The 19,596-nt window shown below is 35.5% G+C and overlaps 1 long non-coding RNA gene across 1 annotated transcript in view; it reads right to left on the bottom strand.

Annotated features, from left to right (window-relative positions):
- The window catches only part of NRXN1-DT (NRXN1 divergent transcript), a 1,375,317-nt gene that overhangs the window by 544,505 nt on the left and 811,216 nt on the right, over positions 1–19,596 (bottom strand). Inside the window, exon 7 of the long non-coding RNA NR_135237.1 lies at positions 1,925–1,964. This is a non-coding gene — a long non-coding RNA (NRXN1 divergent transcript). The remainder of the gene's footprint in view (positions 1–1,924; positions 1,965–19,596) is intronic.

The following is a 19,596-nucleotide window of genomic DNA, read 5'->3' as shown; positions in this document are numbered from 1 at the left end:
TTTGCAGTATATTTTGTATCCTTTTAAAAACTGATATGGGCCATGAGAAAGTAGCTCTATCAGACTGACTCCTCCATCCCGGGCAATTACGAAAGCTAGACCAAACCAAACTTTTGTTACCATCAGAAAGCACTAGTAATTAATACAAACGAAGCACACAAGAGGAGATTAATATTCACATTGAATTTCTCTTTAACTGCATCTTTAAATACATTTTTCATAGAAAGTGGAAGTTTATTGGTCAAAGGAAATACAGAGTTCTGGCTTTACAATGCAGCTGGAACTTGATATGCAGGACAGAGTAGCAGAGAAAAATTCTCTAAAAACCTGTATAAAAAATTCTCTCCCAACCTTGACTGACTCCTAAGCTTCACACACATAGAACAGACAGCTAGAAGACCTAGCAAAGAAGAGAGGTTGCACAAGACATGGTATATGTTAGAATCCAGGGCCAGTAGAATTTCCATGCAATACAAAAGACAATGGGTATTCAGTTGTGACCTCTAAATGATTGTGCCTTAAATGTAAAGGCAAAACTAAATAGAACCACTCTAACATAGCCTAAAGTAAAGCATCAATAGAATCAAAATGAAACCCTCATATTTCAATTTTAAAATAAAACAAAGCAAAACCCTACAAACCAAAATAGAAACTCAACAATCTTTACAGGAATATGATAATGCAAAGTCTCCACAAGCACACTATATCACAAAAAAAAGTGTAAAGAAAAGTAAGAAAAATATTTAAAATATGAGAAAAATAATACCATACAGCCAAAATATCTAACCTACTTATAAGTGGAGTTTAATAATGGGATAAGAGAGAGAATAGGCCAGAAACCACATTTTTAAAATATTGACTAAATAATATCTAATTTGATGAAAGACATGACTTTGTGGATTTGAGAAGTTCAGCAAATGTCAGCTGATCTAAATCCAAACAGTCTATCCCTGCGTCAAATTACTAAAGTCATTAGATTAGAAGTAAATATCCAGAATTCAATTTTATTTCTATATATCAGGAAAAAGTTAAAAATCCTTCGCAGATATCCTGCAGATAAGGGGGGATTACTGTATAAATATATATTCACATGATTTATAAAATAGGGGTCACATTAGCTGAATATTTTAAAAATAATCTTTGACGTAAATACTGCTGGAACAATCAGATAACCTTATAGAAAACCAAATAATTTTTGACTCATTCCTTATGCCATATGTAAAAATTAATCTGAAATGGAAAATAGATCTACAGGTCTATGGAAGGTAAAACAATAAATCTTCAAGAATATATAGGAAAATAATCCCGTGAACTTGGGTGAACAAATATTTGTTAAATAGAGCAGAAATATGCTCATTCCAAAATCAAAATATTGATAAATTGGACTTCTTTGAAATCAAGATCTTTTGTTCATTGAAATAGGTAAGTCCAAAAAAAAACTGGAAGAAGATACATAAAACAAGTATATCTAACAAAGAATACATATCTAGGTTATAAATGAATCCTACAAATTCATAATTAAATGACCAAAGACACACTTCAAAAACTGGGAAACTTGAACAAGAAGAAGGTAGATAGCTAAATGGCCAATAAGCTATAAAATATGCTCAATATCATTATGCATCAAGAAAACACAAAGTAAAATCTCAATGATTTATCAACTTACTCCAAGAGAAAAACAAAAACTAAAATTAAGAAGACAGACAATGTCAATTCTTGGTGAGAAAGTGAAGAAACCAAAACTCTCATGTAGTGTTAGTAGAAATATAAACTACTTCAATTACTGTGAGTAACTCTTGACAACGTCTATTAAGCCTAGGCACACTTCTACCTTATGACCCAACAATGCCATGTTTAGGTATACATCACAAAAACATAATTGACTACATTAGCCGACAGTATGTATAAAAATATTTCTACTGACCTCATTCATGGTAGCATAAAACTGGGAGCAACTCAAACATCTACAAAAAAGAGAATGGATGAATTTTAGTGCATTTATAAAATCAACAAAAAGTATTCCTGAAAAATGCAAAATCATAGATAATTCTCACAGATAATATGTTGAATGAAAGAAGACAGACACACAAGTTATTATAATATGATTTAATTCATATGATGTTTGAGACTAGACAAAATTTAATCTTTAGTTTTCAAAAGCAGAATTATTATCTCTGAGAAAGATTATAAGAGAACCTTCTGTTATCCAACATAGTACTGGAAGTCCTAGCTAGAACAATTAAACAGGAGAAAGATATAAAGGGCATCTAAATTGGAAAGGAAGAAGTCAAATTATTCCTGTTTGCTGATGATATGATGTTATATTTGGAGAAACCTAAAGACTCAAAAAGAAAACTACTAGAACTGATAAACAAATTTAATAAAGTTACAGGACACAAAATTAACATACAAAAATCAGTAGCATTTCTATATGTCAACAGTGAACAATGTGAAAAAGAAATTTAAAAAGTAATCCCATTTACAATTGCCACAGGTAAAATTAAACACATAGGAGTTGACTTAATCAAAGACATGAAAGATCTCTATAAACTATAAAACACTGATGAAGGAAATTGAAGAGGACACCAGAATATGGGAACATATTTCATGTTCACGAATTGGAAGCATCAATATTGTTAAAATGTCCATATTACCCAAAGCAACCTACAGATTCTATGCAATCCCTGACAAAATATCAAAGACAATCTTCACAGAAATAAAAAAAAAATTCTAAAATATATATGGAACAACAAAAGGCCCAGAATAGACAGAGCTATCCTAAGCAAAAGGAACAAAACTGGAGGAATCACATTAGCTGACTTCAAATTATACTACAGACATATAGTAACCAAAACAGCATGGTACTGGCATAAACACAGACACATAGACTAATGGAACAGAATAGAGAACCCAGAAATAAATCAACACACCTACAGGAAACTCGTTTTTGACAAAGGTGCCAAGAACATACACTGGTAAAAAGACAGTATCTTCAATAAATGCTGCTGGGAAAACTGGATAGTCATATGCCAATGAATGAAACTACATCCCTACCTCTCCTCATACACAAAAATCAAATCTAAATGGATTAAACACTTGTTAAGACCTCAAACCATGAAACTACTGCAAGAAAACATTGGGGATAATCTCCAGGACATTGGTCTGGACAAAGACTTCTTGAACAACACCCCACAAGCACAGACAACCAAAGCAAACACGGGCACATGGGATCACATCAAGATAAAAAGCTTCTGCATAGCAAAGAATACAGCCAACAAAGTAAGAGACAACCCACAGAATGGGAAAAAAATATTTGCAAACTACCCATCTGAAAGGGATTAATAACCAGACTATATAAGAAGCTCAAACAACTCAATAGGAAAAAAATCTAATAATCCAATCAAAAAATGGGCAAAAGATTTGAATGGACATTTCTGAAGAGAAGACATGCAAATGACAAACAGGCATATGAAATGGTGCTCAACATCAATGATCATCAGAGACATGGAAATCAAAACTTCAATGAGATATAATCTCACCCCAGTTAAAATGTCTTTTGTCCAAAAGACAAGCAATAAAAATGCTGGAGAGAATGTGGAGAAAAGGGAACCCTCGTACACTGTTGGTGGGAATATAAATTAGTATAACCACTATAGAAAACAGTTTGGAGGTTCCTGAAATAACTGAAAAATGAGCTACCATATGATCTAGCAATCTCACTGCTGGATATAGACCCAAAAGAAAGGAAACCAGTATATCAAAGAGAAATCTGTACTCCTATGTTTGTTGCAGCACTGTTTACAATAAATAGCTAAGATATGAAAGCAACCTAGGTGTCCATTAACAGATGAATAAATAAAGAAAATGTGGTACATAAACACAATGGAGCAGTATTCAGTCATAAAAAGAAAGAGATCTAGTCATTTTCAACAACATGGATGGGAATGACGTCATTGTGTTAAGTGAAATAGGCACAGAAAGACAAACATTGCATGCTCTCATTTATGGGATCTAAAAATCAAATCATGATTTGATTGATTTGATATGAAGGAATTCATGGACATAGAGAGTAGAAGGATGGTTACCAGCAGTTGGGAGGAAGGTGGAGATGGTTAATGGGCACAAAGAGTGGAAAGAATGAATAGGACCTACTATCTGATAGAACAATAGGGTAACTATAGTCAATAATAACTTAATTTTGCATATTTTTAAATAGCTTAAAGAATGTAATTGTATTGTTTGTACCTCAAAGGATAAATGTTTGAGGGTTTGGATACCCCATTCTCCATGATGTGCTTATTTCACACTGCATGCCTGTAACAGAACATCTGATGTACCCCCAAAATATACACACCTACTATGTAAATGTAAAAAAATAAGTTTTAAAGAACCTTCTGGAATGATGTATATTCAATTTAAGGGTGATAGTTACACTGATACATACATCTGCTTCATATTAAGCTGAATAAGGTTGTGCTCTTTACTGAAGTTACAGCAATTTTTTTTAAAGGTTGATCATTAAATGACCTCTAATGCCATATGTTTATTTAGCAGTCAGCTATGCTGTGTTTGTTTGCAAGCTATATGCTATGTTATGTAAAATTCTGGACTGAGTAGATTTGGCTTTTGTTTAACTCTGGTTTTCACCAACTTGATTAGGATGTGCCATAGTAGTGTTTTCTTTTCCTTCTTTTTTCTGCTTCAAATTTGTTGAGCTTTTGAATTCATGGGTTTATACATTTTATTAAATTTGAAAAAAATTTGGCAATTATTTCTTTAAACATTTTTTTTCTGACTCTCTCTCCCTTTATTCTTTAGATCTAATTATACTTGAAATTGTCCCACAAGTTTTTGGTGTTCTATTTTCTTTATGTTTTATTTTGGAGAATTTTCTTTTTTTCCTATGACTTCATGTTTACCACTTTTTCTTTTGAAATACATAATTTAATCTGTTCTTAATATCACGAATATACTTTTAAAAGGTATTGCATTGTTATATCTAAAAGTTCAATTTTTTATTTTTTATCTATTCTATTTCTCTCTTCATCATGTTCCTCTTTTCACTTACTTCTTTGAACTTTTGGAACATATTTATAGTCACTGCTATTATGTCCTCTGCTAACTGCAATGGTGATTTCTAGATTTGTTTACATTTCTTAAATTTTATCTTTATTATTGGTCTTATCCTTCTGCTTCTTTACATGCCTGGTGATTTTCATTGTATGCTGCACATTTTATATTTTTCATTATTTTTTTCTGTATGGTAGTTTTAAAATAATATTGCCCTCTTTGTTCTGGTATGCAATGGAGTTATTGGGGATCAGTTAGAGCCTTTCAAGGTCTGTTCTTATACCTAGTTAAGCTTCTTTTTCTCTAGTGGTCTGTCCTAAAAATTATGAGCACCTCAGTATCCCCAAACACTAACCTCTTTTTTTTCTCCACTCACAGAGATTTCTGAGGTTTGTTTGGCTTTTTCTCTTCTGTTGTTACCTGGAAACTACTTCTACAAACTAAGCTATTGCAATTATAGGAATTATCTCATTTATTTTCCTCCTCTCTGGGATCACAGTTCTGCACTGCCTGCTGTACAATAACTGAAAACCATTGTTTCATATAGTTGTCTGGTTTCTAGGTGATAAAGATGTGAGGGCAAATCAAATACCTGTTAATCCTCCTGGACTGAAGTGGAAGTATACATACATTCACTTTTATAAGCCTATTGAAAGATTACAAAAGACCAAGTGATAGTAAAACTGTTTCCAAGTGACATAGTTGTGTTTTTGTTTTCTCTTAGTTTGCTTCTTTGTTTTTGCCTACATATATAATTTAATAAATATACCTATTACAGAGCAGTGAAATTAACATTTACTGAAATAAGTAAGATTTGCTGATTTAAATTTCTTCACTTTTTTCTTTATTCTTTAGCAGACCTAAAACTAGAAAATCATCACTGTCTGCTAAAATGACTATGGACTTGGCTGATATGAACCTATTGGATTTGAATTTTAACCATTCCACTTACTAACTTTGTAATGTTAAGGAATCCGCATAACTCCCCTGAGACTCAGTTTCTTCAGCTATAAAATGAGGATGAACTCTGAATACTAATTTTGAAATATTCACTGTTTAAAATAATAAATCCATTTTCTGTAACATAATGTCATGCATATAGTTGATACAAAAAAATAGAAATCTGTGTGCTAAAGAACAGCATAGGGCAAAGGACATAACTCACGTAGAAACTGCATGAAATAGAGAAAATAACATAGAACTTATGTGTAGGAGAGCACTAATCAAAAGTCTTTCCTTGGAAAATTTACTTGACTTTTATGAGGCTCATTTTTCTCATTTTTATAATGAAATGGTTTAAGTTGATAATTGTAAAAGTCATTTCTAAAAATGAAATTATGTGATCTGATCTCACTTAATGCCACATCTTAACAAACTGACATAACTGGTCACATACGAAGCTCAATTTTTTGCTATTTTTTTTTTCCTATTATGCACCAGCCAAAAGTAGATTTTTGTGAATTCTTGTTATCATATAAAAAGATTATTGAGTATTGTTTCTTGTTAGAGCAAATCTCTTCTTTTTGGGCCTTACCATGGAAACTGTCTATTAGTTTTTTATCTCCTTGATAATCTGTGAAGCATTTCTTTGTGCATATATATCTTTCTACCTTTTCCAGAGTTTAGAGTCTCTGTTGGAACTTTAGTCAATAAATTTCCCCATTATTTCCAAAATACAAGAACAGAGATTCTAGAGAGTGTCTTTCCAGTGGTTGAAAATAGAAATTATTGAGGCACTAAAACCTTATCTGAAGTGAAAAGATTGTTTTTCACAGCACTTAATGAGAGAAAATTAGAAAGTCACATGGAAGTAGGAAAAAAGTTATTAGAAACAAAGATCATTTACATTTTTTGTTAGTTTAAAATGTGTACACTACTCACACAATGTATATTGTTTTATTATTTTCTGATGATGTCTGTATGTTACTGAAATCTTGGAAGCTAATATAAAAGTGCCTACCTGTAAAGCAAAAAATTTTTAAAATTATTTTAATACTATCTATCATTTTCCAATTATATTATCACTCAGGAGACTGTATCCTGTGTTCCTACAATGCTTCCATCTGACACACACTTTCCTTGCATTCAGTTTCCTCTTCACCAGCCTGGCTAAGTAGGAGGTCAAGATACTGGTTTTAGAAGTCTAATGAGGCTAAAGGAAGAATAGGTTTAATGACTAGTCTAAAGAGCCCAGGGCAATCTCAGAGTCGGTGACCGATGTAAAACTGATATCACAGACCCCTGAGACAGTAAGTGTCATTGCAACAGGGCCAGACAGGACTAAAGCTCTTAGGGCCAAGGTAATGTGTTAAGAAACCAAAGATCACCAAACAGAATTGTGGTAAAAGTGAAGTAAAAAAAATACTGAATCCCAGGACAATCATGCAGGTAATATTTATCAAAGATTTTTAACTTTTTAAATTTGTAATGAAATATTATCATTCCTTTCATTTTAGCTGACATAAGCATAATATAAAATTTTACATAACTATTTTAATATAGAAAACATACCCTTATTTTTAATTCCATTTCAATCTTTTCAGTATCTCCATGAGATGAAGTGAAATGGAGGTGTGAGAGAATCTATTATCACGTCATGTGCATTACCCAGAATATATTAATTAGTAAAACTAAAAGTTATATAACACTTATCAATTGATAATAAAAAGATAACTCAAGAAAAAACAAAAATAATCCAATTTAGAAATACACAAAGGATCTTAATGGATATTTCTTAAAAGAAGATATATATGTCCAATAAGCACATGGACACTCAATATTATTAGTCTTTAGAGAAATGCAAATCAAAACCACATTAAGATATCACTTCATACCCAATAGGATGACTATAATAATATGTATTTTTTAAGACAGGTATCTTAGTCTATTATAGCAGTGTTGTACTGCTATAACAGAATACCTGAGGCTGGGTAATTTAAAAAGAACAGAAATGTATTTCTGGAGGCTGAGAATTTCAAGACTTAAAATTTGACATGATTTTGCAGCGGCTGGTACCAGTTGTTCCTTTCCATGTTTAGTGCTTCCTTCAGGAGCTCTTGTAGGGCAGGCCTGGTGGTGACAAAATCTCTCAGCATTTGCTTGTCTGTAAAGGATTTTATTTCTCCTTCACTTATGAAGCTTAGTTTGGCTGGATATGAAATTCTGGGTTGAAAATTCTTTTCTTTAAGAATGTTGAATATTGGCCCCCACTCTCTTCTGGCTTGTAGGGTTTCTGCAGAGAGATCCGCTGTTACTCTGACGGGCTTCCCTTTGAGGGTAACCCGACCTTTCTCTCTGGCTGCCCTTAACATTTTTTCCTTCATTTCAACTTTGGTGAATCTGACAATTATGTGTCTTGGAGTTGCTCTTCTCGAGGAGTATCTTTGTGGCGTTCTCTGTATTTCCTGAATCTGAACACTGGCCTGCCTTGCTAGATTGGGGAAGTTCTCCTGGATAATATCCTGCAGAGTGTTTTCCAACTTGGTTCCATTCTCCCCATCACTTTCAGGTACACCAATCAGACGTAGATTTGGTCTTTTCACATAGTCCCATATTTCTTGGAGGCTTTGCTCATTTCTTTTTATTCTTTTTTCTCTAAACTTCCCTTCTCGCTTCATTTCATTCATTTCATCTTCCATCGCTGATACCCTTTCTTCCAGTTGATGGCATCGGCTCCTGAGTCTTCTGCATTCTTCACGTACTTCTCGAGCCTTGGTTTTCAGCTCCATCAGCTCCTTTAAGCACTTCTCTCTATTGGTTATTCTAGTTATACATTCTTCTAAATTTTTTTCCAAGTTTTCAACTTCTTTGCCTTTGGTTTGAATGTCCTCCTTAGCTCAGAGTAATTTGATTGTCTGAAGCCTTCTTCTCTCAGCTCGTCAAAGTCATTCTCCGTCCAGCTTTGTTCCGTTGCTGGTGAGGAACTGCGTTCCTTTGGAGGAGGAGAGGCACTCTGCTTTTTAGAGTTTCCAGTTTTTCTGTTCTGTTTTTTACCCATTTTTGTGGTTTTATCTACTTTTGGTCTTTGATGATGGTGATGTACAGATGGGTTTTTGGTGTGGAGGTCCTTTCTGTTTGTTAGTTTTCCTTCTAACAGACAGGACCCTCAGCTGCAGGTCTGTTGGAATACCCTGCCATGTACACGAGGTGTCAGTGTGCCCCTGCTGGGGGGTGCCTCCCAGTTAGGCTGCTTGGGGGTCAGGGGTCAGGGACCCACTTAAGGAGGCAGTCTGCCCTTTCTCAGATCTCCAGCTGCGTGCTGGGAGAACCACTGCTCTCTTCAAAGCTGTCAGACAGGGACATTTAAGTCTGCAGAGGTTACTGCTGTCTGACTACTGGGTACATAATGAAATGAAGGCAGAAATAAAGATGTTCTTTGAAACCAATGAGAACAAAGACACAACATACCAGAATCTCTGGGACACATTCAAAGCAGTGTGTAGAGGGAAATTTATAGCACTAAATGCCCACAAGAGAAAGCAAGAAAGATCCAAAATTGACACCCTAACATCACAATTAAAAGAACTAGAAAAGCAAGAGCAAACACTTTCAAAAGCTAGCAGAAGGCAAGAAATAACTAAAATCAGAGCAGAACTGAAGGAAATAGAGACACAAAAAAACCCTTCAAAAAATTAATGAATCCAGAAGCTGGTTTTTTGAAAGGATCAACAAAATTGATAGACCCCTAGCAAGATTAATAAAGAAAAAAAGAGAGAAGAATCAAATAGACGCAATAAAAAATGATAAAGGGGATATCACCACCGATCCCACAGAAATGCAAACTACCATCAGAGAATACTACAAACACCTCTACGCAAATAAACTAGAAAATCTAGAAGAAACGGATAAATTCCTCGACACATACACTCTCCCAAGACTAAACCAGGAAGAAGTTAAATCTCTGAATAGACCAATAACAGGATCTGAAATTGTGGGAATAATCAATAGCTTACCAACCAAAAAGAGTCGAGGACCAGATGGATTCACAGCCGAATTCTACCAGAGGTACAAGGAGGAACTGGTACCATTCCTTCTGAAACTATTCCAATCAATAGAAAAAGAGGGAATCCGCCCTAACTCATTTTATGAGGCCAGCATCATTCTGATACCAAAGCCAGGCAGAGACACAACCAAAAAAGAGAATTTTAGACCAATATCCTTGATGAACATTGATGCAAAAATCCTCAATAAAATACTGGCAAACCGAATCCAGCAGCACATCAAAAAGCTTATCCACCATGATCAAGTGGGCTTCATCCCTGGGATGCAAGGCTGGTTCAATATACGCAAATCAATAAATGTAATCCAGCATATAAACAGAGCCAAAGACAAAAACCACGTGATTATCTCAATAGATGCAGAAAAGGCCTTTGACAAAATTCAACAATGCTTCATGCTAAAAACTCTCAATAAATTAGGTATTGATGGGACGTATCTCAAAATAATGAGAGCTATCTAGCACAAACCCACAGCCAATATCATACTGAATGGGCAAAAACTGGAAGCATTCCCTTTGAAAACTGGCACAAGACAGGGATGCCCTCTCTCACCACTCCTATTCAACATAGTGTTGGAAGTTCTGGCCAGGGCAATTAGGCAGGAGAAGGAAATAAAGGGTATTCAATTAGGAAAAGAGGAAGTCAAATTGTCCCTGTTTGCAGACGACATGATTGTATATCTAGAAAACCCCATTGTCTCAGCCCAAAATCTCCGTAAGCTGATAAGCAGCTTCAGCAAAGTCTCAGGATACAAAATCAATGTACAAAAATCACAAGCATTCTTATACACCAACAACAGACAAACAGAGAGCCAAATCATGAGTGAACTCCCATTCACATTTGCTTCAAAGAGAATAAAATACCTAGGAATCCAACTTACAAGGGTTGTGAAGCACCTCTTCAAGGAGAACTACAAACCACTGCTCAAGGAAATAAAAGAGGATACAAACAAATGGAAGAACATTCCATGCTCATGGGTAGGAAGAATCAATATCGTGAAAATGGCCATACTGCCCAAGGTAATTTACAGATTCAAGGCCATCCCCATCAAGCTACCAATGCCTTTCTTCACAGAATTGGAAAAAACTACTTTAAAGTTCATATGGAACCAAAAAAGAGCCCGCATCACCAAGTCAATCCTAAGCCAAAAGAACAAAGCTGGAGGCATCACGCTACCTGACTTCAAACTATACTACAAGGCTACAGTAACCAAAACAGCATGGTACTGGTACGAAAACAGAGATATAGACCAATGGAACAGAACAGAGCCCTCAGAAATAACGCCGCATATCTACAACTATCTGATCTTTGACAAACCTGAGAAAAACAAGCAATGGGGAAGGGATTCCCTATTTAATAAATGGTGCTGGGAAAACTGGCTAGCCATACGTAGAAAGCTGAAACTGGATCCCTTCCTTACACCTCATACAAAAATCAATTCAAGATGGATTAAAGACTTAAACGTTAGACCTAAAACCATAAAAATCCTAGAAGAAAACCTAGGCATTACCATTCAGGACATAGGCATGGGCAAGGACTTCATGTCTAAAACACCAAAAGCAATGGCAACAAAAGCCAAAATTGACAAATGGGATCTAATTAAACTAAAGAGCTTCTGCACTGCAAAAGAAACTACCATCAGAGTGAACAGGCAACCTACAGAATGGGAGAAAATTTTCGCAACCTACTCATCTGACAAAGGGCTAATATCCAGAATCTACAATGAACTCAAACAAATTTACAAGAAAAAAACAAACAACCCCATCAAAAAGTGGGCCAAGGACATGAACAGACACTTCTCAAAAGAAGACATTTATGCAGCCAAAAAACACATGAAAAAATGCTCATCGTCACTGGCCATCGGAGAAATGCAAATCAAAACCACAATGAGATACCATCTCATACCAGTTAGAATGGCAATCATTAAAAAGTCAGGAAACAACAGGTGCTGGAGAGGATGTGGAGAAACGGGAACACTTTTCCACTGTTGGTGGGACTGTAAACTAGTTCAACCATTGTGGAAGTCAGTGTGGCCATTCCTCAGGGATCTAGAACTGGAAATACCATTTGACCCAGCCATCCCATTACTGGGTATATACCCAAAGGACTATAAATCATGCTGCTATAAAGACACATGCACACGTATGTTTATTGCAGCACTATTCACAATAGCAAAGACTTGGAACCAACCCAAATGTCCAACAATGATAGACTGGATTAAGAAAATGTGGCACATATACACCATGGGATACTTGGAATACTATGCAGCCGTAAAAAATGATGAGTTCATGTCCTTTGTAGGGACATGGATGAAATTGGAAATCACCATTCTCAGTAAACTATCGCAAGAACAAAAAACCAAACACCGCATATTCTCACTCATAGGTGGGAATTGAACAATGAGATCACATGGACACAGGAAGGGGAATATCACACTCTGGGGACTGTGGTGGGGTGGGGGGAGTGGGGAGGGATAGCATTGGGACATATACCTAATGCTAGATGACGAGTTAGTGGGTGCAGCGCACCAGCATGGCACATGTATACATATGTAACTGACCTGCACAATGTGCACATGTACCCTAAAACTTAAAGTATAATAAAAAAATAAAAAATAAATTTAAAAAAAAAGAAAAAAAAGAAAACCTTGCAACTGCATTTTTTTCTCTTCCCCTCTGAGATATCAACTTTCTCCCAGCCTCTTGCCAATTTTGGAATCCAGGAATGTCTTTCTCAAGGAGCCCCCCCTTTCAAATATAATAATTGAAGAAAATATTGTTTCTACCTCCCAGTCTCTGTGGGAGCGTAGAATCCTAACTTTAATGAAAGACTATTAGTGAACACAGGTGACCTAATCACATTAACCAACCTCCCCTCTAATGTCCATCAGTATGTTTCAATTGACAAACTCTAGCATTTAAAAAACTTCCTATTCTTTGTTTCAGCAGAATTGAGTTCAATCACCCTTCGTGTTATAAGAGTTTGAATAAAGATTCCCTTGCCTTTTAACTTCCTAAGGTGCAATTTTTATTTAACATATATATCTGAGAGAAAAAGAAAGACATTTCCACACAAAAATTTATACATTACATTTCATAGCAGTTTTATTTATAATAGTCAAAAAGTTGAAAGAATCAAAATGTCCATTAAGTGATGAATGGATAAATAGAAAAAGAGAATATGATATAGTCATACAATGTATTTTGCCAAAGAACTAATATGTACAGAAGCATGGCTGATCCTGAAAACATTATGCTAAGCAAAAGAAGGCAGTTACAAAAAGATCACATATTGTATGATTCCATTTACATGACATGTCCTGAATAAAGAGGTTGTCCATTACAGAGAAATAAGATTGTTGGTTATGGTTAGGGGGCTGAGCAACAATGGGGAGGTGACAGCTAATGGACACAGGGTTTCATCTAAGAAGATGGAAATATTTCAAAATTAGTTTATGGCATTGGTTGCTCAACAATGCAAATATAGTAAAAAAAAAACCACATTGAATTGTACATTTTTAATGCATAAATTATACGGCATGTGAATTATATCTAAAAGCTGTTTTTTTAAAAAAAGTTCTTCCCCATAATGACATTCTCTGTCTTATACTGATTTATTTTTTATTATTATCTTACATATCACATATACATTTCCTCATTTGTTTATTGCCTACCTTCCCACCAAATTGAAAGTTGTATATAAAAAGAGTTCTTGTTCATTTATTTGTTTGCTTCATTTCGTATTTCTAAGACTTAAGAGTTTCTGGCACACTGTAGAGTATCTGAATTAACCTAGGTAAAGCAGCAGCACAGACAAGGTTTTATGTGCAGTAGTTTATTTTGGGAAATATTCCTGTGGCACAGGAGTTGGTGGGGTGGGATGAGAAAATGAAAGAGGGAAAAAGAAAAGTCAAGAGCAGGGTGAGTTCTAGGATTGCTCCCTGATGTGGAAAATGCTGCTTAATTGGGACCTTCTTTGGAGATTTATATATGGAGTCTCACAACTTCCCACAAGAAGAACAAAAAGAGGAAGTATTTCTCATCAGCTCTTCTCTCTCATCATACAGGAACTGTCCCATTAGGATGTTCGCAGCATTGAGATTTTTGTAAAACATGCATAAGTGCAAAGTAGGTTTATGCAGGTTTCCCTGCACTGAGTTACAAAAGCCCGGGAGAATAATCCAAGAAAGTAAACGTGGTGAGACAAAGCGCTATTAGTTTACATCTGCATGCATCTGCTTGCCTTAACAATGTCCGGAGTAAAGGTTAGGCAGAGAAGATATGAAGTAAGGCAAAATAAGTGTCCAACACACCAGTGATACTTGATGAATACTCTGGTCCCCTAGTCCCATTTAAAAGAACATGGTCAATAAAACGAGAAGAATCTGACAGCCATCAGGGTACTGGGTCACTACCTCTAGTATTTCCCCTCATTTCTCATTTCTGAATCTTCCTTGTTTTTGCTTTCCTCAGCTCTTCAACATTGGATTATTTTCTGAGGCCTCCTTTTTTTTTGACTGTGTATTCAGGCAAATTAATCTCCTACAAATCTCTAAAAACTCTAAAAAGGTACCTAAAAGTGTCATAAATTGAAGATAATCCAATGCATAACTATAGACCCTGAGAATTTTCACTTATTCTGTTAATGGTGGCTGATAAATCAAACAAAACCAGAAAATTTTTGGTGAGCAAAGGCATATTTTTCATAAGCATTGAAACATTTAGACTGTAGTTAAACTCTACTAATGCATATTGACTACTGAGAATGTAAGTGAAACCTTCCATTTTGCCTTGAGTAACCTAATTCTAATACAAAATAATAAACTCTATTCTACCTCTTAGAAGTTTGCACATTTGTAGGAGTCTAAGTGGGAATGAGTCTTCACCAGCCTCTTTGTCTCTTGACAAGAGTGCTCTCGGATCATGGGCATAAATAACCCACATAGAGAAAGGATCTGGTCTGCTTAGAGGACCCCCTTCTTGGGAAACCTGAAGCTGCATCAGTAACATCTCAATCTATGAACTTTCATTCTAACTACAATGTCATCTGGACCTAATATATGAGTTCTCAATATTTTTTTATTATATTACATGGTATAGACATTTTCCTAAGGTTTGCATTGCAGACAATTTAGCATTGTTCCAGAATGAATAGGTGGTTTTCAAACAGCAGGACTGATTAGTTTATCACAGCTGACCTCTTTGGCAGGGCTGGGGATGGTCAACCCTAGGTCCTGAGCAATACCTTATGATTACACAGACTCATGCTATGGTCTCCTTCAACTGATGAAAACATTCACTAGTTAACACTTTGAAACATTTTTTTCTATGCCTACACACATGTACGACCACATAATATTATAATAGTAGATATATAACTAATAGGCAAATTTCTCCTTTCCATCTAAGTAATGCAACTCAGGACCACATATCTCAGGCATTATCTGTGATTTGTTGAAATTGTATTACTTCTTATAGGTATATTCTACCAGCAAATGTTTTCTGCTAAGTTTTGAAAGTTGTCTAGATTGTAATTGCACCATTTTCCCCTAAAAGGCATATATCCCTCCATTATTACGTATGATACATAAGAGTTCATGCAGTTTCACAGAACATTTTTCATACTGCCATTACTTTGATGTATTTTTCTAAGACAGTTACCATATGGTTGAAATATATTTAAAAGTATAGTGGCCATTTCGCAAATCACATGTGTGACTTTAATCACCTACTACTTTGGGATTTATATAAGAAAGTACATTTTAATCTCAAAAACTTCTTTCTAGAGACTAATACCAGTTTTTATATGCTTCATGTCAAATCCTCATAATCAGTAGATCAAATTATTAGTGCACTACAAGTTCTACTCTTTTTCCAAATTCATGTTGTAATGCCTAATATGAGAAACAATTACATGGGCCATGATGTTTCAAGTTCTGATCTACTCCCCCAGATATAAGGCTCAGGTTAATTATGTATATATAAACAGGGAGTATGTTTGCACCTTAAGGAAAGAAAACTCTGTAAAGTCTCAGGCTTGGGGAACCAATCTGTTTTTCTTCTGACATTTCCAGGCAAACTGTTAGCAACCATCTTCTTCCAAAATTTGGCCAATAGTGTATTAATACATCATGTATTCTCACCTCATTTTAGGTTCCTCTTGTTAGAGAAATAAAATTATTTCACATATAATCACCATGCACTTTTTTTGTATCTGTTTGCTATCTGTGAAGTACTCCATTATCTTTTCATTCATACTATAGTATTTGCCTAATTTGGTACCAGGCCTAATGATTCACTACCCCTTAATAGTTCTGGAATAAGGTGTATGCTTTCAACCCCTTGGAATGATATGATTACACATATCAAACATCAGGACTGACTAGTTACTATGGCATGTAGCCACACATCCACAATATTAGTATTTTTTGGTGTAAGTCAACTTTGTCTATCCCATGTCCTGAATCACTGAGAAGCCCACTATATTCCTACTACTGATATATGTATGATTATTCCTTTAAGAAAGGGCTGGCCCCTTTAATGACCCAGTGGTCCACTCCAGTCATCATGAGTGCTCAAAGGTTATGAGCTAAAAGTGTCTCTATTAGAGTTCACAAGTCCCTGAATCATATTCACTTATGTCATGGAGGTGTCACTTATCTTTGTATCTCCCATAGATCTTCACACAGGGTTAGTTCCAAGTAAACAACCAGCCCTGTCAGCATTACTGAAGTATCACATGATATCTGTTTTGAGCTCATAGCTTGCAGAGTCTCATGGATAATACTCCAGATTTCTTTCTGTCCTGACAGCCAAACCAATTTCCAGAATATTAAAACACACAAAATATTCTTTTTTGTGAGATTTTCAAATGAGGCCCACCTCAAAAATTTAGCCAAAACAGCTAGTGTTTTTGAGGGAAAAAATAAACTCTAATGGGTTTTGAATCCCCTCTCCCAATTCTTCTCAGGCAACCTCTAAGGATTGTATTGGAAATAGGTGTTGTAAAACATCCACCACCTGAAACTGTCATGGGGTGTTTGGTGTGAATGATACATGGTAAGAAAGATTAGGATTAACAGTATATTTGCCAGGTTAGTATGCACAAGGCAGATGGACTTTCTGGTCTACTCAGCATTTTTTCAATCCCAGAAGGCTGAGTGTTCTGCACAACTTGCTGGTTATTAACCTTGCAAGGAAACAGTAGTAAATCTTCCCCTTTACTGTCACCCATTTAGTGTCTGCACAGGTGCATCCAGCAATAAAATGGATGTACATCCTCTGTACCTTCCTTATCATTCATTCAGTTGTGCTTTGGGTCATTGGGTTTGTATGAACAGTACACAGCAGAATCCTCAAGGAAGTGGTTCTAAGTGTCCCCATTCTAAGGCTTTTATTCACTTCAAATCAAGGCAGGTATGATCTTCATTAACGTCTTAACCATGTAACCAGCACATTATCTCCCTGTTCACTCAGACTTAATTTTAAGGTCTTGTACTAGTCTGATCTCACACTGCTATAAATGCTATAAAGATACTATCTGGGACTTCGTAATTTACAAAGAAAGGAGGTTTAATTGACTCACAGTTCCCCATGGCTGGGGAGGCCTCAGAAAATTTACTATCATGGTAGAAGGCCAAGGGGAAGCAAGGCACATCTTACACAGCAGCAGGTGACAAAGAGTGTAGAGGAAACCGCCACCTGATCAGATCTCATGAGAACTCACTCACTATCATGAGAACAGCATGGGGGGAAATGCCCCCATGATCCTGTCACCTCCCACCAGGTTTCTTTCTCAAAACATGGGGATTACAATTCAAGATGATAATAGAGCCAAATCATATCAGGTCCTAATTAAGAATTGTGACTATACGTGAGATTCTAAGAACTTCCCTAATCTACACTTCCAAATAATAGACGCCTTCTCCAGTCCAGGGGCTCCCTGGCATCAGTCTTAAACAAAGCCTGATACATTACTCTTTCAGCTCCTATGAGAGGGAGGACCCTGTGATTCCTGTCCATGTAGCAAAGTGACTGGAAAATGTGTACAGAACTAGGATGAATCTTCAAAGTCAACAGCTGTGATTACCTGTGCTAGATATGTAGGGAGCATGGGGTCTGGATAAGATACTGTGTTTCACTCAAGAAAATAGAAGGAGTATAATTAAGATGGTTAGTTCAGGTATTGGTCAAGGAAGGGATCTTGTTATCAGAAATCAAGAACCACATGTAAGAAATGGGATTCATTTGCCAAATATGTTTTAAAAAGGATGTACAGATATAAACAAAAAAGACACAATGTCATGGGGCAAAAAAGAAGTTAATATAAAAATGGTCAGTATGAAGGAATCTGGACCTTGAACATGGAAGGGTGTTGGAGGCTGGCTGTGATACTGAGTATCTGAAACGGGGGACACACCTGCTGAGTTAAAAAAGCTATGCAGTTCTGACATATTCATTGCTCTGCTCCTGAGTTTTATTGCTTTCTTATTTACATGATAATTTAGCCATTTACACAAATTGTAGAGCTGCTTTCTTTATTTCATATAAAGGGCAGTTGTTTTAACCCAGTGTTCTCAACTGGTAGCATTTTATTTTCACAATTAGAGTAGAGTATGCAACTGGAATTTAGTGGGTAGAGGCTATGGATATTGCTTAACAATGTATAATGCACAGGAAAGCCCCTTACAACAAAAATTACCTATCCCAAAATGTCAATAGTGCTAGAGAAACGCCGTCCTAACAACAATACAATAAATATGCAGATTTGCCCCTCTATAATCTTTGTAGGTATTTTAAAGCAAAAGTAATAAATAGAATAACAGTAGTTCCCATACTTGATAAGATATAAGAACCACATGAAGGTTTTGAGAACCTTGCATTCCAGGACCCTTCCTTAGACCGGCTGAATGAGAATATTGGTGAATATAGCTGTGTATTTTAAAGGCATAAACAGCTGTGTATTTTAAAGGGATAAACAGCTGCTTCTGTTAGCTACCTGCGCTTCAGAATAACAAAGATAATCTCTGCATTCCTAGTGTGGTAGATAAAATGGATTTTGTTTTCTTATTCTGTTTATTCACCTAAAGAGTCTTTATTGATGTGTTCATTAAATTCTGCCTATAAGCATGCATAGACATATAAAATGGAAAAATGAATTCTCCATCAAATTTGTCATCTATACACAGGAATTGAGAAATCAAGATAATGACTGAGATTATTAAAGTAATAGATATCATAGGAATTGTTAACAATCATAGTATGCTGTTACACTATAGTGTTTAGGATTCACACAGTTTCTATTTCCAAGGGGCTCACACTGATTGTCACAAAGAGGAAACAAAGAAAATCTTTTCAACTTCTATTAAAATTCATCATCATGTTTACTGTCTCTGCTATTAGTTTAATTAAAATAATACTCTAACTGTGTGAAAGTAACAAATATCTTTATATTTTTTTGTTAGAACTTTTTTAAAGGAATAAATCCCATTGCTTTTCTCACTGTGATACATGTACTCTATTTGGAAAAT

This window comes from Homo sapiens, chromosome 2, assembly GCF_000001405.40.
Source record: "Homo sapiens chromosome 2, GRCh38.p14 Primary Assembly".
NCBI lineage: Eukaryota > Metazoa > Chordata > Mammalia > Primates > Hominidae > Homo > Homo sapiens.
The sequence above is the reverse complement of the archived record's forward strand: the minus strand, read 5'-3'. Positions and strand labels throughout refer to the sequence as shown.